We start from the raw sequence: 23,482 nt of genomic DNA, 5'->3' as shown, positions 1-23,482 counted from the left end.
GGAGTTTTAAAAGCAAAAGAAGGGGACAGGGAGTGGGCTGATAAAAAGTTGTGTGTCAGGAATTCTCATTGGTTTACAGAAATAACATTGACTAGTGATTGGCTATACATTGTTAAGCAATAGGTAGGGTGTGGGTTATAGTGTCTGGTGTGACATTATTAGGTTTATTTCTAGCTACTTGTGGCAGTAGCAAGCATTTTCAGGAGAGGGATACATGGGTCAAAGTGGGTAGTAGAGCGTGATTGCAGTCTCATCTTAATGTCTCTATTGGCCTGATAATTAAAAGGACTTGCATTCCTCAGATGAAAGTTATTTTCTCAGTCTGGAGGTACCAAAGAGAGAAAGGGGAGGTAAATTCCTTGCCATTTCCATAGTACTTTGAATTCTGGTATTCTACTCTGATTCATCTTCTGTTTACTTTTCAGAAAGCTTAAGTACCTATTCTGTGAATTCTGTTCAGGTTTTAAGGTTTCAGTCAGTGGGAAGGACAGGGTGTAGTGTGTCTACTCCGTATTACCTGCAACCAGACCTTGAATCATATTACTACCTTGAAAAAAAAAAAAACTTTGTTAGTTCTCCATTGTCTCTAGGGTTAAGTGCCATTTTAGCACCTCAATTCCCCAGGTGCATGTATTTCATATTCAAGCCAAACAAGACTATTTGTTGATGCTGGGGAGAAGAGAACTTTCCCTCTACCCTTTGAACATTCAGTATTTGAGTATGTGAGATAAACTGACAGTAGATAGATTAGCAGGGAAAAAAAAAGGCAAAATTTATTATGTGTTTGTACATAAGAGTCTCACAAAATATCAAACTTGAAGGCCAGATGATTGACATTTTTATGGCATCCTGAGCTACAGAAAGGAATAGGGACTTGAGGGGAGGTGGTGACAACCTATGGGACTATGAGGGGAGGAAATGCACGGTGAGCAAAGCTTGCCTTGTTATGCAGATAAAAAGTCTCTCCTATAATACAAGTTGTCTGGAGCAGCCCTCAGAAGAATAGGTGATAGCCTGTGACAGAGTCTGGGGTGTTGACCGTTAGTCTCTTCTTCTGTGATACAGTTAATCTACCCCAGTTGATAAGATTCCCAGGGAGGGCATAAATAACAATTGAGCTCCTTTTTGAAGGATCTATCTTTGGGCAGATAAGAGAGCTTCAGAGAAAGCCCCTCCTGCTCTTCAGGGGAGAAGGAGGAGTTAGAGTCAGGAGGTCAAGAGAAGGTCAGACCTTGGTTCTTTTTTAGTTCAAAGCATTCAGCACCATACTTTGGGGTAACGTGTTCTGAGTCCCAGCACTGATACATAGTTATCCTATTCCACACCTATAACTTTATGTATTTCTCTCAGCCTGAAATAGTCTTTCAACCTTTCAATTTTTGCCTCTTCAAATTTTATGTATCTTTTCAAGCTCAGATGTAATACCTTCATAAAATTTGTTTTGGTGATCTGCCATGCTCTTATATGCTCCCCATAAAAGGAATGTGTGATTTCTTCAGTCTTTGAAAAACTGTCATTTTTGTTTGTGCTTTTTAAAAGATATGTATATATACTTTGTCTTAGGATTACTTTTATGTGTAGAGACATAGTAACTGTGTCTAGCGCAGGCTATTATGCTTCAGATCCAGTAGATTCAGGTAATGTTTAGTGCCTACTGTGTACTTCTTCACTTACTCACCTGTAACACCTTTTTGAAATAATTATTCTAAATCTTATTCCTATGAGGACACTGAGAATATGTAAAGTTACATTATCTGAACTCTTTTTCACTGGCTGTGTATTTCTTGAGTGTAGGAATTTCAATACAGGTTGTGTGTCTCTTATCCAACATGCTTGACACCCAGAAGTGTTTCAGATTTCAAATTTTTTCAGATTTGGAATGTTCAACCTGTATTCAATTTTCACCTAATGCTTACTGTATAGTAGCTACTTGGTAAACATAGCAATAGCCCTAACTTTTCCTTCTTTCTACAGTACCTTGGCCATGTAGAAGTTGATGAATCAAGAGGAATGCACATCTGTGAAGATGCTGTAAAAAGATTGAAAGCTGTATGTATTTGATGGTTGCCAGTGTTGATCTATATGCTATCAATATTTTCTTAAAAGATTTTGCTCAGTACATTTTAGTGACCCAGTAAAAACTGTGTTTCTGTTAAAAAGATGTGGGCTTGCTAATAAGGAGCATCTCAGCCAAGCGCGGTGGCTCACTCCTGTAATCCTAGCACTTTGGGAGGCTGAGGCAGGAGGATTACATGAGGCCAGGAGTTTGAGACCAGCCTGGGCAACATTTCAAGACCCTGTCTCTATTAATTTCAAAAATTTTTTCTTAAATAATAAAATAATAATTAAAAAATTTAAAAGCATCTCATGTTGCCCATCCAGAGGTATAAATTATTAGATGAGCCGTTTAAATTTAGGCCAGATATTATCCTAAAGGTACTTTTGATTTATAACCCATATGAAACAAATGTTGTGAAATCTGATAGAAGAATAGTATTCTAAGACTAGGATTAAACTGTTACAGTTAACATCTTACCCTAACTGTGATAACTGGGCTATAAATTAGGGGTTTTAAATATACTGTAAAAAATAGCTTCCTGGGGAAAACTAGAGGATAGAGGTCTGTGTTGATGCCTGGTGAGGTTTCCTTTTTGGAGACTTCTTACTATTACCTTGACTCCTACTCCCCAATTTTCTTCTCTATACACCTCTAACATAAACAGTCTATTTCTACTGCCTTTTACATAAACTTTAGCACACTTGAAGTAGAGAGCCCTTTCCCAGGATAACGTTTCCTCTGCCTGTTATGCGATAGAACACATCCCAGGCACATGCCTGTGTATTCAGTGAAAGGAAAGAACGAGTTCGGAATTCATAAAGATTCAAAGTGTTAATTTCAGATTTTCCATAGGTTTGAGGAATGTTCCATAGATCTGATAGCCCTTTTCACAACCCTCCTTCTCTCTAATATGTGGCCTTTCCCCACTTTGCTGTGAAAGCTTTAAGCATTACTTCTGCATGCTCTGGTCCCAACAGCATTAAATACATGTTGCTTTGGGTTTGCTGGTATGGTGGGCTGCCACAAGTTTGACTACTAATGTGTGCTTTTTTCCCTCAATTTGCTTAGTAATCAGAACTTTTGTGCTTCTCGGCATAGTCTATATTACTTCTTATCTATAATTCCTGAATATAAAATATATAAAATTTAGAGAAAAAGCAACCAAGTCAGAGAGGTAGATTTAATTTTGGGATAAATACCTGAATCTGTCATAGAAGGGAAAAGAGAAAAGTAATTGGCTATAATATACAAAGAACTAAAAAATTTTAAAAAAAGATACAGACATACCTACACATATATACATACATAGATACCTATACATACTCTTTATCTCAGATTTTGATCATTAAAATTCTTAAATGATTCAAGCCTTTGCTAGTCTTATCTGTGCTCTCCCAATCTGTCATTACGTTAAGGGGACCTTGTGTTATGGTACATGAAATTATAGTTTGTAGACCTTCCATGCCAACCTAAATATATTCCCCAGTTGAACATAGTCTCAGATAATTTAATTTTCCATTTTGTCAAAACCAAATTTAAAAGAGAAGTAAAAATTTAATTTTCTTTAACAAAATAATTCCGGGTTTATCTAGAATAATAATAAACAAAATATCAGTTACTCGGGAGGCTGAGGTAGGAGGATTGCTTGAGTCTAGGAGTTTGAGACCAACCTGGGCAACACAGCGAGCCCTTGTCTCAACTAAATAAATACACAAACAAGATGATTTTAGCTAAGAACATTTTTTTAAAGTAATGCAGTTATTTGCCCATTAAATAATATTTTATACTAATGACTGAAAACAGTGAACAGACTAGATAGCCCTGAAACAAACTATAAATAATTATTAAAATCTTATAATTTACACAACTTATGGTGAAATGGCCACTGTGGAATGAGCCTTTAGAAAGTCTTTTGATTCAGAGTATGACTTCATGTGCACTCTGTAAGTAAGGAAAAGCTAGAGGTGGTTTAAGTTTGCCCAGAACATATTGAGAAACGGTATTTTGTTGTTTAATGAGCAGTTAATCCTCTTACCTGTCTAGCTTTGTTTTTTTTTGAAATACTTTTAATTAGAAATATCTCGTTATTATATAAGCAATATGTTTATTGTATAAAATACAAATGAACCAAAAAAGTACACAAATAAAATGAAATTTCCTACAACCCCAGAGATAGCCACTATTTAACTATCTAGTTTTAAAACTAATGTTTCAGTAGATTTTTTTGTTTTATTTTACCTTTTTTTTTTTTAAACCAAGAAGATAATAGGCGTGATTGCTTGAGGCATAGGACTATTTAGATAATAAAATTTAATGTTTTTATATTCATCAGAATTAGGAACTAAATAGCCATTTTAAAAATTATACCTATGCATGGAACAGTGGCTGGCACATAGTAGTAACTCAAAAAATACTTCTAGAATGAATATACAGAATACAATCTGATCTACAATATGTGGTCAAATTGAGTCTTACAATAACCATAATCAAATATTATGTCTAATGTTTTAAGTTTACCAAAACTGTTTTGTTTATTTCTAAAGATCTTTATTTTCCTGTGGTTTTTAATGACTAAAAGAAAGTTTTAAGCCGAACACAGTAGCTTGCGCCTATAATCTCAGCTACTTAGAAGTCTGAGATGGGAGGATTGCTTAAAGCCAGGAGTTCAAGACCAGCCTGGGTAACATAGTGAGACCCTGTCTCTATAAAAATAAATAATAAAAAAGAAAGTTTTAGATATGTTGGTGATTGTTTTCTAAACATACTTAAACTTTTAAACTTTGAGGGGAAATTGACCATTTCTAGACTTCTTATCAAGAAGTTATTTAAAATTTTTCAGACAAAAACTAGATTTGGAGCAAATGTTATATGTAGTTTTGCACTGGCATGTATTATTAAAACATGAAATTGAAGTTTTGGGTCACTGGAGTAAATTTCCTGTTTCTTATGCTCAGTGAAACATCCCCATTCTTTTTTTGCCCCCCCGCCGAGTCGGAGTCTTGCTCTGTCACCCAGGTTGGAGTGCAGTGGTGTGATCTTGGCTCACTGCAACCTCTGCCTCCCAGGTTCAAGCAATTCTCCTGCCTCAGCCTCCCGAGTAGCTGGGATTACAGGTGCCCGCCACCACACCTGGCTAGTTTTTTTGTATTTTTAGTAGAGACAGAGTTTCACCGTGTTGGCCAGGGTGGTCTTGAATTCATGACCTCGTGATCCACCCACCTCAGTCTCCCAAAGTGCTGGGATTACAGGCATGAGCTGCTGCACCTGGCCTCCCCTTTCTTTTAAATACTCTTTCTAGAGCTATACTGAGAATCTTGCAGAAAATCGGAAGTCTTTAGGATACTGTTCTTCTCATATCATAGTGTGCCACATGTATTCCTGATTTTTGTCTTCTTTTCATATTTTTACTATGCAGAAATTTCTCGTTGCCTTTTGATTTCTCTGAGCAAACATTCATCTAAAAATCATCCACTGGGGATCTACAACCTACTTTGCCAGATACTTATATTGTGCCAAATGCTATGTTTCTGGAGACTTTTTGTTTGTTTTTTTTATAGATTATAAAGCTTCCTTTTAGAGTTTCAAATAAGTGGGAGCAAATATAAGGATGCATAAGCCTGCAGAGGATTAAAGAAGAAATAGGATATCTTTGAAATTAGTTTGAATGCCAGAGTTTAAAATTTTAAAGAATAGCTCAGATGTACCAGTTAAGTAACAAAACAAGCATTTTAAACCTACCATGTGAATGATCTTTGGAAGGCAGCTATGCTCATCACTGTACCACCAACACATCTAGTGAATAATCTTTGAACTAAAAATGTAATATTTCTGGTGCTTTTTATTTATTCATTTTTTTTGGAGTGGAGTTTCGCTCTGTCACCCAGGCTGGAGTGCAGTGGCACGATCTTGGGTCGCTGCAACCTCCGCCTCCCGGGTTCACGCGATTCTCCTGCCTCAGCCTCCAGAGTAGCTGGGATTACAGGCGCCCACCACCACACTCAGCTAATTGTATGAGACGGGGTTTCACCATGTTGGCCAGGCTGATCTCCAACTCCTGACCTTAGGTGATCCACCAGCCTGGGCCTCCCAAAGTGCTGGGATTACAGGCATGAGCCACTGCGCCCAGCCTTCTAGCGCTTTTTAAATTTGTGAACAATTGAGGAAAGAGATAATTTGCAAGTGTTTTTCACCAAAATACTCTCTTACAATTTAGAATTACATTAACTTCAATTGGAAGTCATCTGCATACTTGATATGCTCAAATGAAAAAAATATTATAACTAAACAAGATAGTGTTTTAAAAATATGCTCCTCAGAGCATAAATATGTTAATTTTTTAACTTTCTGGGCATAAAGTTATTGACAGCTATTTTCAACTCATTTACTTTGTCATATAACCTCACTGATTAGCTACTTTGGGACTTAGCTTCTATAGGATAAATGACAGAAATCACTATTGCCCATTGTTACTGCCTTTATGGCATATCAGCTACAGGGTGAGGAATATTGTCATATATCAGCCAATTCCATAAAAAAGTGTATAAGGCCTTTGGTTATCTTGCTTAACTCTAGTCCAAGATGCCCTTCGTTTAAGGTCATTTCTTCCCATTGTTTCTTAAATGTCTCTCCCTCTGTCTTAGTTTTAGACTAGTTTCATTATACTACCAGTTTCTAATATGTTGGTTTTTTATTCACTATTTGATATATTTGTTTTAATATATGTTCTTGTTTTAGCAGGTAAAAGAATCATAACAAATGTTTTTAAAAGAACATTATTATTCTTTAATAACTGTCTTTTTATGCATTTTGCATGCCAACTTTTTTCATTAACATCTTGGGTATTTTATAAAAAGAGGGAAAGCTCAATGTTTAACAGTAGCTTTTCTAGGAGCTAAATTAAATATTAACAATCTCCTTCCTTCACCTTCCCATCCCTCAAGAATGGTGAATATCTTAACTTTGGCCGCATCCTTGAAAGCTTATGGTTATTCATAGTCTAACAAAACTAGGGTCACCAAACTTGGCAGCAGAAATAATCTAGTCTTACTGTGATAACTACCCAATTACTTTATTATTTTTCCAGTTGCAGTTCAAAATGTTTTGTGGAAATATTTTTTGCTGTTTGTGATTTTCAAAGCTTAGAGGGGAAAACAAACTTTCCAGTGTTGGAGAGCACTGAATAGTTTATGAATTGTGTAAAAGAGTCAGATTTCAATGCAATTATCTTTTCCTAGACATTTATCCAACATTAAAAACCTATGATTATAAAAAGTAAAGGCTTAAAGTATATTTCAACCACAGCTAGGAAATGTAAAGTTAAATCTAGCTTGTGTGAGTTCAAACCCATCTAATTTGTGTAAATTCTACAGATTTTAATTGGTGGCCAGTTTTCATAAATGGTGCTTAAAAATTGGTGCTGATAGCATAGATAGTTATGCCTCTGTTATCCAGATAGTTTCAGAATTGTTTCCTTATAAATGTCAATGCAAGTTTCTTTATTTTAAAATAACAGCTTTTAGGTTGGGCGCAGTGGCCCATGTCTGTAATTCCAGCACTTTAGGAGGCTTAGGCAGGTGGATCACTTGAGGTCAGGAGTTCGAGACCAGCCTGGCCAACACGGTGAAACCCTGTCTCTACTAAAAATACAAAAATTAGCTGGATGTGGTGGCGCACACCTGTAGTCCTAGCTACTCGGGAGGCCGAGGCATGAGCATTGCTTGAACCCAGGAGGCAGAGGTTGCAGTGACCTGAGATCGTGCCACTGCACTCCATCCTGAGTGACAGAGTGAGACTCTGACTCAACAAACAAACAAACAAACAAAAACCAAATAATAATAAGCAATAGCTTTTATAAAGAAAACAAAACCCTGTTTCTTAAATTTCAGTTGTGGCCCACAGACATCATTTGGTTCTTAGGATACTTGTTTTCTCAGCTCTTGTATAAACATTAGCCTTGTAACCTTAATAGATAATTTATTCTGTGTCTGGAATAAAACATACATGTTATTTCCTTATGTGTGTTGTGAAATTGATCAGCACACCTGTACATATAGATTGATACTAATGTAAGTAAATGGAAAGCCAATGGTCAAGCTCCCCTTAAGTGGTATGGAGTTTCTAAGTGACATCTTGAACTCACTAAGAAAAAAGTATGACAAGGACCTTTGATGCATACTCATTTAATTTTACGTATTACATTTTTAATGTGATTATGTGGTCATTTGAATGTGGACTTTTTTAAAATTGGTGACTTTCACATAGTTGACCGCCAATTTTAAACTTAAAAAATGTATATGGAACCAGTCTTCTATTTTCTATTCACTATTATAAAATTTAAAATGCAAATCTCACCAAACCAGTATGCCCTATTGTTTTCTCTGCTGCCAAATTTGGAAGATCTCTGTTTTAAATGTAAATAGCGATTACTAAACTAACTGGTTGCTCTGCATGGATACAGGTTCTGATTTCTTCTTACTCTTTCTATGGATTCTTAGGCTATACAGTGTGTTTCCCTGCATTTTCATGCACCCTTCCTTTTTCCCTGTCACTCCTGGTGTGGATAACTCTTTGAAACTCACTCCCACCCCTTCTCCCACTTTTTCCTTTCCCCAATTTCTGTATGTGCTTATTGGTGTGAAACTCTGGGACATTTAGGCCATACAATAATAGCACTCGACTTGTCCCCCTGTTCCTCCAGGAAAGGAAGTTCTTCAAAGGCTTCTTTGGAAAAGTAAGTTTGATGCCACATTCATGCTTGCTTTATAAGGAGTTACACCCCTAGTGTAGCACTGACATATTTTTTAAAACTAGTACAGCTTTGGTTTCTTTATAATGCAGGAATTGGTTTGATTGTATATGGAAATTAATGAATTAGGAAGTTACTATCCGTGATATTATCAGTGGGTCTACTGATACTAAATCTGATGATTCTAAGAAATTCCAATAAATAGGCTGGACACGGTGGCTCATGTCTGTAATCCCAGCACTTTGGGAGGCCAAGGCTGGTGGATCACCTGAGGAGTTCGAGACCAGCCTGGCCAACATGGTAAAACCCTGTCTCTACCAAAAATACAATACAGGTGATGTGCACCTGTAATCCCAGCTACTCGGGAGGCTGAGGCAGGAGAATCGATTGAACCCAAGAGGTGGAGGTTGCAGTGAGCCGAGATCACGCCACTGCACTCCAGCCTGGGTGACAGAGTGAGACTCTGTCTCAAAAAAATAAAGAAATTCCAATAAATGAATCAAGTAGGTTAAAAGAGGATTATCTCCTCAATAGTAGGTATTAAAATAAATATCATTTGATCTTGTAAACCCTGTTTATATTAAAATATTAGCAATATTTGTAACAAGTGGATTTTACATAATGCCCAATATTCACAGGGAAATAGGAAGAAATATTTGAGTAAAAAATAAATATACCCCAAAGTTTACATTCAGTGCAATTTTTTTTCCAATCTAAATTAAATTTCAGGATAGTAAGTGAAAATGGATAAACTTACCTTTAGGGATCCTGCTATGATTTTTAACCTGCATTGCTAATCTAAGAAAAAGTATCTTAATTATTAGCCTACCAAATATCTGTCATATGTGGAATGTTGTTTATGTAGATGCTTTTCAAATAATGATTATTCAGTGTTCAGATCTCCCTAAATTTAAGAATATATGGGGTGGCTGTACACATATCAGTAAATATATTTCTAAATATATTTTGTGTCCAAGTTTATCCTTGTTTAGTTTTGAGTAAGTGCTAAAACTAATTCAGACTGAGACAGTATGAGAGAAAAATACTGTCATTAGATAACAGTATAAATTACTAAAAATTTATGTGATTAACAAAATCCTACAATTTTTTTTCTACTGCATGGTTTTGTCATTTTGGAACTTTGTTTTAAAGAACAAATAATTTACATTTCCTTCTCAATTAAATGTTTAAATGGAACTCATTTTTGCATTTTCTTGTTCTAACTTGTCACCTTAATACTAGTGTAAACAAATTTGAAGTATTTTGATCTAATGATTTAATTCAGTTACTCCTCTCAATCTGAAATAAAAAGTCAAATAATTTACCCACACATGTCACAATACATTTTTTAATAGACATTTTGGGTCTGAGTCAGATTAATAGGTCCTTAGAATATGGGATACATATCTAGAAAGAATCTTATTATTTCCTGTGTAGCACAGCATTATAAGTAGGGATTATATTTGTTAAGGAAATTGATAATTGTTAAGGACACTTTAGGAAACTTTTTGTGGTGTATTTGTTTTTTCCTAAACAGAGTTTCCGAAAGCAATTACACATCGCCACAATTATCATACAATTTTAACTATTGTTCAAGTGACTAGTTTTAATAAGTCTACTTCAAGCAGCAGATAAGGCTATATACGATAAGCTATATAAGATAAGGCGTCATAGATAAGATGAAGGTCAGGTTATAGCAAATATTGATTTGGTTTTTAGAAAGACAATTGTAAAAGTATATATTTTAGCTGGATGTGGTGGTGCACGCTACTCAGGAGCCTGGAGTGGGTTAAGGAACAAAGCTCTTCCCTCAAAATCAATCCTGAGGTCACAGTATTTATTGCTACGTATAATGGGGCCATGATGCACCTACACTGTAGCTGAGCTGGATCACACTGTGTTGGGTAGCTTTTTCACTGCATTTTTTTTTGCTACATGATGAATTTGTATGGTATAAGAAAGAGAATTATGAATCATCTCACTTAATCCTTAACCCAAAAATAATAATTCTCCAGTTTTACAGTGAGAAAACAGAGGTTTGCAGAGGTTAAATGACCTGACTGAATTCACAGATATTTATAATAAGTGGTAAAAAATGGGATTTGAACCCAAATAATCTGACTTCAGAGCCCACACTCTTAATCATTGTGCTGTATAATCACTTTATTTTCATATTATTTATAAGTGAAGATTTTATCTCAAAAGGTGCTAGTAAGTAAAGAGCTTCTTAGAAACTCACTTTTACTTTCTTTTTTATAGAGTAGTAATTTAACTTTAGATTTTATTTCTAATCAATTACTTTTTATTAGTTAAAGCTTTAAATAATCGTCTTTTTTAGTAGAGACGGGGTTTCACCATGTTGGTTGGCCAGGCTGGTCTTGAACTCCTGACCTCAGGTGATCTGCCCGCCTCGGCATGTGCCTGTAATCCCAGCTACTACTCAGGAGGCTGAGGCAGGAGAATTGCTTGAACCTGGGAGGCAGAGGTTGCAATGAGCCAAGATAATGCCATTGCACTCCAGCCTCGGTGACAGAGAGAGATTCCATCTCAAAAAAAAAAAGAAAAAAAAAATCATCTTTTTTAGTGGTTCAAACTAACATTTTATTTATTTGGAAATATTTAAGTCCTACTGCATGTTGAGCATCCCTTATTTGAAATGTTTAGGACCTGAAGGGTTATGGATTTTGGATTTTTTTTTTTTTTTTTCAGATTTTGGAATATTTGCATATATATAATGAGATATTTTGGGGATAAGACCCAAGCCTAAATGCAGAAGTTATTTGTGTTTTATATATGCCTTATACATATAGCCTGAAGATAATTTTATACAATACTTTAAATAATTTTAGTAATAATTTTATATAATTTTATAATTATTGTATAATTAAATAATTTTGTGCATGAAACAAAGTTCATGTACATTGAACCATCAGAAAGCAAAAGTATCACTATCTCAGCCACCCATGTGGAGTCTGTGGTTGTTTGACATTACCATCATTCCCTACTTTGAATTTATATGCTACTGATAAGCAATCATTTTCTTACATTTATTCACACATAAGTATTTCGCTTTCAAAAAAAAAAAGACATAATGGCTGGGCGCGGTGGCTCCAGCCAGCACTTTGGGAGGCCAAGGGCGGGTGGATTGCTTGAGGTCAGGAGTTCAAGACCAGCCTGACCAACAGGGTGAAATCCCTTCTCTACTGAAAATACAAAAAAAATTAGCTGGGCATGGTGGCACACACCTGTAGTCCCAGCTACTCAGGAGGCTGAGGCAGGAGAATTGCTTGAACCCGGGAGGTGGAGGTTGCAGTGAGCCTAGATCACACCACTGCACTCCAGCCTGGACTATAGAGCAAGACTCTGTCTCAAAAAAAAAAAAAAGACATACCACTAGTAGAGTGAAAAAATAATATGTTCAGAGTAACTGAGCAGCACCGTAGCATCACCAGAATACATATGTCAGCTGTTTAACAACAGCAACAACAAACAATGACAGGCTTTGTCTTCCCCTCTGAGGCTGTGTTTTGATTAAAAGATAACTTACACTGTATTTTTTTTTAACGTAAAAAGAAATATCAGAAGCAGTTGAGGGGCCAGGAAGTGGGTCTTCTAGGGATGAAGTGGCATTCTGCTAGATGGCTTTTTTTTTTTTTTTTTTGAGACAGGGTCTCACTCTGTCACCCAAGCTGGAGTGCAGTGGCACAATGATGGCTCACTGCAGCCTCAAACTCCCAGGCTCAGGGGATCCTCCCAACACAGCCTCTCGAGTAGCTGGGACTATTGGCATGTGCCACCACACTCAGCTAATTTTTGTGTTTTTTGTAGAGACAGGGTTTCACCATGTTGCCCAGGCTGGTCTCAAACACCTGAGGTCAAGTGATCTGCCCACCTCACCCTGCCAAAGTGCTGGGATTACAAGCATGAGCAACTGTGCCCAGCGTGCTCGATGGCTTATGTGTTGTATGCCTACTTTTTGTTGTTGTTGTTGTTGAGACAGAGTCCCCCTTCATCACCCAGGCTGGTGCAGTCTCGGTCACTGCAACCTCTGCTTTCTGGGTTCAGGTGATTTTTTGCTTCAGCCTCCCAAGTAGCTGGGACCACAGGCGTTTGCCACCATACCCGGATAATTTTTGTATTTTTAGTAGAGACAGGGTTTCACCATGTTGGCCAGGCTGGTCTCGAATTCCTGACCTCAAGTGATCAGCCTGCCTTGGCCTCCCAAGGTGCTGGGATTACAGGCATGAGCCACAGCACCCAGAATTCTTTTCTTATGTTATTGGGGAAAATTTTTTTTTATGTCATGGTGATTTTATACTAATATATAATTTTTTACAGTGAGTCATTTAAAGAGTTTGGAAAACAGAGAGGGGCAAGTATTACCCATGATCTTACCCAGAATGTGCTTTTAAATGATAATTTTTTCTTTAATTTGGAATCTTTTGAATCTTTCAAGTTGCCATCACTTAATTCATCTCCACCCTAATCTACGAGAAATAGACTGGTGAGAGAGACTTGATTTATTGAGTTTGCTAGGTCAATTGTGGTTTGATGAAACCTCAAAATGAAGCATCTTACAGAACAGTATATGTTACGGAGTTTTTATCCAGTACAGTTCCTCATAAATTTTGATACTTTGTTATTCTTTGAATCATGTATGATTTGATGATCCAGGATAAATAGAACAACAGTAATCAAGAAGTGTTTTTATTAAACACTTTTACGTGAAAGTAAGTAGATAGAAGAATTGTTTGCCCCGATTCTGAATTTATGACTCATAGCCAGGAAAACCTTCTTTTCCGGAAGTTGCCTCTTGGACCTGACCACCATCACTTCCCTATTGTTGCATCACCAGCTGACAGGAGCAGTGTCTCCAGAAACTTTAGCAGTAGGGAACAGATAAACCTGGGTCTGTTACAGGCCTGTAATCCATTGTAAGCTTACAAACATTGTAAAAGAGGGGCAAAAAAACGAAGACCTGAAATAACTTTTTCCAAACTAATTAAATTGCTCATTGCCGTGGCCGGGCACGGTGGCTCATGCCTGTAATCCCAGCACTTTGGGAGGCTGAGGCAGGTGGATCACGAGGTCAGGAGTTCAAGACGAGTCTGGCCAGGATGGTGAAACCCCGTCTCTACTAAAAATACAAAAATTAGCCAGGCGTGATGGCAGGCGCCTGTAATCCCAGCTACTCAGGAGGCTGAGGCAAGAGAATCGCTTGAACACCGGGGGTAGGCAGAGGTTGCAGTGAGCCCAGATCATGACACTGCACTTCAGCCTGGGTGACAGAGTGAGACTATGTCAAAAATAAATAAATAAATAAATAAATAGCTCATTGCCTTAGGAAAGCCAATAATGCACTCAGCTTTTTAGGGATTATTACATGCAGCTTCATTCATAGTTGGCTATACTAGGCAAATACTTTATTACCAAATAATTACATGGCACTTAACATTTGAAAAAATGTTTTTATAATTTTAATGTATTTGAGGAACCCTATGAACTAAGTAATCTGTATTCCCATTTTATGAAGAAACTGACTCAACATAGAGACAGGAAATATTCTTAGGCCACCCTATTAGATCTCTTTTTAAAGCCATTTACTTGTATTTATATAGAGCTTTATAGTTTATTATGTGCTTTGACCTACTTTCTAATTTGCCATTCATAACAGTTCAGTGAATTGGACAGGGTAGTTCATGAAACTGCATTTTACAAATGAATAAACAGAAGCTCAGAGAGTTCACCCAGCTAATACTAAATGGCAGTGCCTACACTGAAAGCAAGGTTTTCTGAAACTTAGTGCAAAGTTCTTTCATCTACCCCATGTTGATGTTCTGTCATTCAAAAAGCATTCCTCTGCTTTCCTCGGGTATGCCTTAATTATAATGAATGGAGAAGTGTCTAATGCAGAGGACGCTAGACAGCCCAATGGCCTGAATACTTCCACAAACATGGATTGTATGGCCTGCACACAGTTTATAAATTTGAATTAGTTGCAAATATTTTAAACATTGAGAACTTTCAATAAATATCCTACTTTTCAGTAGGACATTTATCTTAAGAATTAGCAGACCTGGCAAAACAATATGCTTTCTGTGTGGCAACAGTTTCCTGACCTGAGTAGCAGCTATGCCCTTTGCCTATTCGCCACAATCCCTGCAACTCCCTGTTGTCCCTGCTTCACTCATTTGTTATGTGCCTTTAATTCTTGTAGGCATTTGAGTTTGTGAACTCCTCTCTGGGTTATGTCACTTTGATTTATTTTTCTTTGTAGCAACCACTTCTGACTGTATAAAAATCACCAAAAATATTATAATATCTGTTCTAACAGATCCTGTTAATATACTGCCAAATATAGTTTTTCAAGTTTTTATGTTTTTACAATTGCTAAATGGCACCATTAGAAATGGTTAAGTTTTAGAGAATGCATGGTTGAAAAGTAATATGTTGTTATGTTGTTTTAACCTAATTCCTGAGAGTAAAGGATTTCATGGCATTTATGACTCCACTCTTGAATTAGTATATTCAAATCTACATTCTATTTTATATTTCCTAAATTTTCTCCTCTATGACAACTTGTACTTAGTGCTTATCTTCATTCTGGATCCTATTTTTATTATTATTATTATTATTATTATTATTATTATTATTATACCTTAAGTTCTGGGATATATGTGCAGAACATGCAGGTTTGTTACATAGTTATACATGTGCCATGGTGGTTTGCTGCACCCATCAACCTGTCATCTAGGTTTTAAACCCCGCATGTGTTAGGTATTTGTCCCCTTGCCCCCAACTCTCTGACAGGCCCCAGTGTGTGGTGTTCCCCTCCCTGTGTCCATGTGTTCTCATTGTTCAACTCCCAATTATGAGTGAGAACAGGTGGTATTTGGTTTTCTGTTCCTGTGTTAGTTTGCTGAGAATGATGGTTTCCAGCTTCATCCATGTCCCTACAAAGGACATGAACTCATTCTTTTTTACGGCTGCATAGTATTCCATACTGTATATGTGCCACATTTTCTTTATCCAGTCTGTCATTGATGGGCATTTGGGTTGGTTCCAAGTCTTTGCTATTGTGAATAGTGCTGCAGTAAACATACATGTGCAAGTGTCTTTATAGTAGAATGATTTATATTCTTTTGGGTATTGGATCCTATTCTTTAAAAGTGCATCTGTGCTCATATATTGTTTCCCTCCCATTCAAGGGATGAACTATCTGTGTTCCTCACAGAGGCCAACTCCTCCACCAGATTCTTCTTATTCCAACTCTTACTTATTCTGGCAATGCTACCCCCTCTCCCCTCTATAATCAGTTTTCTTTCTCTAGTGGATCATCCATTAGCATAAAAATATACCATCTTCTTTTTAAAAAAAGGTTTCTTCTTGGTACCCTCAGTTCCTTCTTCTGTTGAACCCATTTAATCATCTCCACAACTTTTACCTCTGCCACCCCACCACGGCTGCCCTTATCTTCTTTTGTATTACTATTCCAGTAGTCCTATCGCCTTACTCAGACTATCAGCAGCAATTCACATAGCCCATCTCTCACTCCCCTTTGAAACACTATTCATTTGGAGTTCAGGGATCATACTTTCCCAGTTCTCCCCTTCGTCTGTGGACTCTTCTCAGCCTACACCTGTTAATGATCTCATCCACAGTGTGATGGCTTTAAATATCATTTATGTAATATATGCTGATGGTTTTGAAATTTATATCTCCATACATCTCCCCTGAACTCCATAATGGTATTTCCGTCTTACAAGCAATATAGCATAGGAATCAAGGTCCCAGCCTTTGGGGCCAGATTACTTGCATTTACTAGCTTTGCGATTAATGCCTACTTCATGTGATTGTTGTGAAGATTAGATGAATAAATATGAGTGAAGAGCACCAAATGGCCTGTTTTGGTAGATAGGTGTCAATATCATCATTATTAAACTTTTTCTCTTCGATATCTGCTAGTCACCTCACACTTTAATATGTCACAAATCAAATTCCCCCAAGGAGAGAAGGATCTTTCTCTCCTAGTCTTTCCCAGTCTCAATATACAGCATCTCTGTCCCTATGCTCTAGCCAAACCCTGGATTTGACCTTGACTTCTCTTTTTCTTATACCCTACATCCACTCCATCAACAGTTCCTGTCTGCTTCAGCCTTCAAGAACCTAATCAATTCTCACTATCTCCACCACTCCTACCCTGGTCCAAGCCAGCATCTCCTCTTATCTGAACCATTGCAGTAGCATCCTACTAGCATCCTACTACCCCTGCTTTCATTATTGTCCTCCTGCCATCCCCTCTTGAGAGATCAACCCGAGTGATCTTTTTAAGACAGAGGCCCGGCCGGGCGCGGTGGCTCACGCCTGTAATCCCAGCACGTTGGGAGGACGAGGCGGGCGGATCACGAGGTCAGGAGATGGAGACTATCCTGGCTAACACGGTGAAACCCCGTCTCTACTAAAAATGCAAAAAAATTAGCCGGGCGTGGTGGCGGGCGCCTATAGTCCCAGCTACTCGGGAGGCTGAGGCAGGAGAATGGCGTGAACCCGGGAGGCGGAGCTTGCAGTGAGCCAAGATCGTGCCACTGTGCTCCAGCCTGGGCAACAGAGCAAGACTCCGTCTCAAAAAAAAAAAAAAAAAAAAAAGACAGAGGCCCGATTATGTTGCTTCACTGTCCCATGTCCTCCAGTAGCTTCCTGACCTACTCAGAGTAAAAGCCAGTCTTTTAGGCCTTGTAGGCCATTGCATATGAATCCCCTCTTTTTCCTCTTTTATCTCCTCCTAGCCTTCCTCTTGCTCCCTCTGTTCCAGCCACACTAGCCTCCTCAGTATTCCTTAAACAAACCAGGCACGCTTTCACCTCAGGGCCTTTGTACTTGCTGTAACCTCTAGTCTGGAACGCACATCATCCAGATATATGTGTGGCTCACTTCCTCATCTCTTTCCCTTCACTCAAAAGCCCCATTCTCAGGCATTTACTGACAACTTCTTAAAAAATCCAAACACCACTCTCCCCCAGACACACACACACTCCCAATTCCTAGCTATTTTTTTTTTTTTTTTTAAAGACAGAGTCTCACTCTGTTGCCCAGGCTGGAGTGCAGTGGCGCAATCTCGGCTCACTGCAAGCTCCGCCTCCCGGGTTCATGCCATTCTCTGGCCTCAGCCTCCCGAGTAGCTGGGACTACAGGTGCCCGCCACCACACCCAGCTAATTTTTTGTATTTTCAGTAGAGACAGGGTTTCACTGTGTTAGCCAGGGTGGTCTCAATCACCTGACCTCGTGATCCACCCGCCTTGGCCTCCCAAAGTGCTGGGATTATAGGGGTGAGCCACCACGCCTGACCCCTAGCTTTATTTTTATCTGATAGGGTTTATCACTGTGTGTCATACCATACATTTTACTTGCTTATCTCTTCCTCACTGAAATGTAAGCTCTGTGAGGACAGTGATCTCCACCTGTTTTGTTTACTGCTGAATCTTCAGTACCTAGAATAATTTGTGGTCCATAGTAGCTGCTCCAAAATATTTGAATTAATGCGTAAAGGAATGAATGAGAAATGTACTGCTCAAGTTCACCCTGTTGTGGGAGGAATCAGATAGGTAAAGACATGGTTACCAAATTGTGTGACAGTAACAGGTGCTCCAGGAGCAAAAAGGAAGAGTGAATGTGAAAGGTTGTAATGAAGGCTTCTAGGAGGAGATGACACCTAGGGCTGAGCCTAAAAACTATGAATTCCAGTTAAACTAACTTAGAAGAGAAAGAGATTTCAGACAGAAGGAACAGCACTATCAGGGACATTGGGATGAGAGAAAACATGTTCCACACTCATTCATTCATTCATTCATTCAACCTAGGGGTGTTGAGAAGGAAACAGAAGATGAGACCCAGATTTCGTTCATGGATGACCAAGGGGTTGGTGGAATCACTCATTGTGAGAAGGGATAAATTTGGTTTTGGACAGGTTGAATTTGAGATGCCTCTAGAATTTTCATTTCAGCTACTATATACCTTTGAAATATGAACTTAATATTGGAATAATCCCTAGGTCTCCCCTCCCCCAATTGAAGTGATTTGGCAAACTAGAAGAGCTAAATTGCCTCCCCAAAATCTCTCCTTTACTGTGTAGTTCATGACATGCTCCATCCTTGTGTTTTCCTAAAAGCCTTTAAGTGCCCCTCTCATTTAAGAAAGTACAGGAATAATGAACCTTAGTGTCTGAGACTAAAAGTTATTGTACTCTTCCTGAGCACAGTACAATCTCAAATCCTGAAGAAAGTTGTGTTTCTGTCCTTTCACTGCTTTGTTCTTTGGGGTATATTCACTGGATTTTGGAATTATAAGACAAAATTTATTGATTACACCATTCTGTTCAGAAATTCAAATATTAAATTATAGACTTCAAGGCTTTTCTTTTCTGATTTAAAAAGCAATGAAGCTGGGTTTCCTCTGAAAAAAGTCTCGTTTGTTTATTACAAGGCACACTGTATCATGGTTCCCTGGTTTATATATCACCATTACTCTGTAATGCCTGCCTCTGTGTAGATGTGACGGAAAGACTGACCAGTGATTCTTTACACATTGGGAACCTTTGAAGACCTCTTTGGTTTGTAGCTGAAGGAACTTTGCACAGTAGAATTGCAAATCACTGTTGTTCTGAGAGTGACTTGCTCTGCCCTAATTGGTCTGTTTGCTGCTGTTGCTTCTTAATATTTCAAAGCTATGCAAAATGATGTTTCCATGTGTCTTTATAGCATTTCTTCACTTCAGCTTACATTAGAACATCTGCTTAACCCTTTTGCTCTTACCTAGCGTATGCCCGCAGAGCTGTCTTGCCTCCAAATGTCATTTTTATTTTTGTTAATTAATGGCATGCTCTTATCTCACTGGTGATCTTGGGGATCATAGAATTTTAGAGTTGGATGGCACCTTAAAATAGGTAGGATATAAATACATTTGTCAGAAAAAAAAAAGAAAATGAATTCGGGGACACAGTTCCAACAGGTCTAATATTTCAGTATAATGAATTATCTTTCCAAGAAGATTCAATTAATTATAGAGATTGTGATTGTATCAGATGTCGCAAACTATGGCCCACTACTGTATTTGTTTTTGTAAATAACATGTTATTGGAACACAGTCATGCCCATTTGTGTACATATTGTTATGGCTGCTTTTGTGCAATGATAGAGTTGAGTAGTTGCAATAGAGATCATATGTCCTGAAAAGCCTAAAATATTTTGTTGTCTGGTCCTTCACAAAAAACGGTTGCTAATCCCTAATTTCAACAATTTAAAAACTCATTTCGGCCAGGCGCGGTAGCTCACACCTGTAATCCCAGCATTTTGGGAGGCTGAGGTGGGCGGATCACCTGAGGTCAGCAGTTCAAGACCAGCCTGGCCAACATGGTGAAACCCCTTCTCTATTAAAAATACAAAAATTAGCCATAGCTGGGCGTGGTGGCAGGCACCTGTAATCCCAGCCATTTGAGAGGCTGAGGCAGGAGAATCGCTTGAACGCAGGAGGTGGAGGTTGCAATGAGCCGAGATCGCACCACCGCACTCCAAGCATGGGCGACAGAGCAAGACTCTGCCTCAAAAAAAACAAAACAAAACTCATTCCTCCAACTCCAACTCATTTCTCCTAAGGATAACATTAATTATACTGATGAAATAAAAGAGCAGTGTAAGAATCTTTCCACCTACCATGTATATCACCAACTTGTCATTTTCATCCTTTTTCAATTTATTTTTAAAAAGTGGTTTCAGCTGGGCATAGTGGCTCACATCTGTAATCCTAATACTTTGGGAGGCTGAGGTGGGAGGATCACTTGAAGCCAGAACTTGAGACCAGCCTGGGCAACATAGCAAGACCATCTCTATAAAAATAAAAAAGTAGCCAGGTGTGGTGGTACTTACTTGTGGTCTCCCAGCTACTCAGGAGGCTGAGGTGGGTAGATGACTTGAGCCCAGGAGTTTGAGGCTGCAGTGAGCTGTGATCACACCACTGTGCTCCAGCCTGGGTGTCAGAATAAGACCCTGTCTCTAATGAAAAAAGAAAGAAAGAAAGAAAGAAACAGTGGTTTCTACTTAAAGAAACAAAGCCTGGAGATAGGTAGATAGCAATTGGTTATTTCAGTTGCCTTTTACTGTACGTAGCTTTTATATTTAGGAGAAAGTCATCTTACAGTGTGCTGAGCTTGTTACTATTTCTGTGCCATTTTCCATTTTATGTTCCTTCACCAATTTTTTTCGTGTTAAGATTACCTGTGCATTTCTCTTCTGGTACAAGTTTCCTGATTTAGTAATTTGTAATAGATCCACTGTATGTTGCTATTTTCTTCAGTGTCAGAACCTGCTTAGTTGCTATATTGGTTTATATCTACCCATAATAAAAGGTTTTAAGGAAGATAATAATTTTAAAATACTAAGCTGGATATTTATAGTGTAGAGTAATTACTTGAGAAAGTTATACTTTCATTTTTCACTTTTGGTTAGCTTGATCCTTCTGCTCAGATTTCACCAATTTAAATTCCAAGTTACTAAAGTTCTGTCCATGTTAGATCGGTTTTCTTTGAAAAAAAAAGGATTTTTGTCTTTATTGTGAAACTTTTTCATGATACATTTGTCAGTGTGAATTCTACCTATAACTGAAATTATTATTAAAGTAGAAAGTGTTAGAGCAGCGATGATAAAATAATTCTGAATGTCTGAACATCTGTGTTGCCACTTCCACATTTTTATTAGTTCCTGAAGCATGTTTTTTTTTTGTTTTGTTTTGTTTTGTTTTTGAGATGGAGTCTCGCTCTGTCACCCAGACTGGAGTGCAGTAGTGTGATCTTGCTTGGCTCACTGCAACCTCTGCCTCCTGGGTCCAAGCAATTCTCCTGCCACAGCCTCCAGAGCAGCTGGGACTACAGGCGCATGTCACCACGCCCGGCTGATTTTTGTGTTTTTAGTAGAGACGGGGTTTCACCATGTTGGCCAGGATGGTCTCAAACTCCTGACCTCAGGTGATCCACTGGCCCTGGCCTCCCAAAGTGCTGGGATTACAGGCATGAGCCACCATGCCTGGCCAGCATGTTGTCTTTTTAAAGAGGTGTTTGTGCCACTAAGATGTATGTAAATTCTTTTTTTTCTTTGTTTCTTTCTTTTTTGAGATGGAGTCTCACTCTGTTGCCCAGGCTGGAGTGCAATGGTGCGATCTCAGCTCACTGCAACCTCCACCTCCCGGGTTCAAGGGAGTCTCCTGTCTCACCCTCCCAAGTAGCTGGGATTACAGGCACCTGCTACCACACCCGGCTAATTTTTATATTTTTAGTAGAGATGGGGTTTCGCCATGTTCGTGAGGTTGGTCTCGAACTCCTGACGTCAGGTGATCCACCCTCCTCGGCTTCCTCCCAAAGTGCTGGGATTATAGGCTTGAGCCACTGTGCCCGGCCTGTATGTAAATTCTACATTTGATATTTAATGTAGTTTTTTTTCAGTCCTTTGATTAGTTAACTGCGGCCTGATGGCCTAGGGTACTGGTTTCAAGTAGACAGTTTTAGGGCAGACAGTCTTCTCTCAGCCATGTTTATCTTCTTTTCTTAAAAGTGCTCAGAAATCTTAGTTTATATGGTCAGAATGAAAGACTCAAGTTTACAAATAATATGGAAGTATTGGCCAGGCGCAGTGGCTCATGCCTGTAATCCCAGCACTTTGAGAGGCTAAAGTGGGCGGATCACCTGAGGTCAGGAGTTCGAGACCAGCCTGGCCAACATGGCGAAACCTCATCTCTACCAAAAAAAATACAAAAAAATTAGCTGGGTGTGGGGCCATGCACCCATAATCCCAGCTACTCGGGAAGCTGAGGCATGAGAATCACTTGAGCCCAGGAGACAGAGGTTGCAGTGAGACTAAATTGCTCCACTGCACTCCAGCCTGGGCGACAGAGTAAGACTCGTCTCAAAAAAAAAAAAAAAAAAAAGAAATGTGGAAGTATTGCAACTATAGAATTTGTGAGAGGAAGGCTGGGCTTAATTTCAGCTATAGGCATCTCTAATCATTAATATTTCAGTACCTGACTTAAATAACTATAATGTGGCAAACTATAATGATGTACAAGAACCCACACCCAGAAGTATGAACAAATACAAGAATTCGTATTATCTGTTTTCTTCCCCTCTTCAGAGAGATCAGAGGCCATGAAATATGACAAATATGATTCCTTACTGATACATTAGTACAATACTATAAAATTATTAAGGCCTATCTCAAAAAGCACAATTTTTTTTATTTTTTTTTATTTTTGAGATGGAGTCTCGCTGTGTCACCCAGGCAGGAGTGCAGTGGCGTGATCTCAGCTCACTGCAACCTCTGCCTCCCAGGTTCAAGCAATTCTCCTGCCTCAGCCTCCTGAGTAGCTGGAATTACAGGCACGTGCCCCCACACCTGGCTAATTTTTTGTATTTTTTAGTAGATATGGGGTTTCAGCATGTTGGCCAGGCTGGTTTCGAACTCCTGGCCTCAAGCGATCCACCTGCCTTGGCCTCCCAAAGTATTGGGATTACAGACATGAGCCACCACACCCGGCCACACATGTTTTTATAACCATATAATTGGGATGTGTGTGGTGATTTACACCTGTAATCCCAGCACTTTGGGAAGCCAAAGCAGGAGGATCGCTTGAGCCTAGG

At 38.6% G+C, this 23,482-nt stretch overlaps 1 protein-coding gene across 5 annotated transcripts in view; it reads left to right on the top strand.

Moving 5' to 3' along the window:
- Nucleotides 1-23,482, top strand: part of NUMB (NUMB endocytic adaptor protein) — a 183,331-nt gene that overhangs the window by 133,368 nt on the left and 26,481 nt on the right. For 3 of the 5 annotated variants that reach the window (NM_001005744.2, NM_001005743.2, NM_001320114.2), the window contains exons 5-6: nt 1,975-2,049; nt 8,757-8,789. In NM_001005744.2, coding sequence (NP_001005744.1) covers nt 1,975-2,049; nt 8,757-8,789 — 108 coding nt within the window. The remainder of the gene's footprint in view (nt 1-1,974; nt 2,050-8,756; nt 8,790-23,482) is intronic. The other 2 variants (NM_001005745.2, NM_003744.6) reach the window with 1 other exon arrangement.

Source organism: Homo sapiens, chromosome 14 (genome assembly GCF_000001405.40).
Source record: "Homo sapiens chromosome 14, GRCh38.p14 Primary Assembly".
Lineage (NCBI taxonomy): Eukaryota > Metazoa > Chordata > Mammalia > Primates > Hominidae > Homo > Homo sapiens.
The sequence above is the reverse complement of the archived record's forward strand: the minus strand, read 5'-3'. Positions and strand labels throughout refer to the sequence as shown.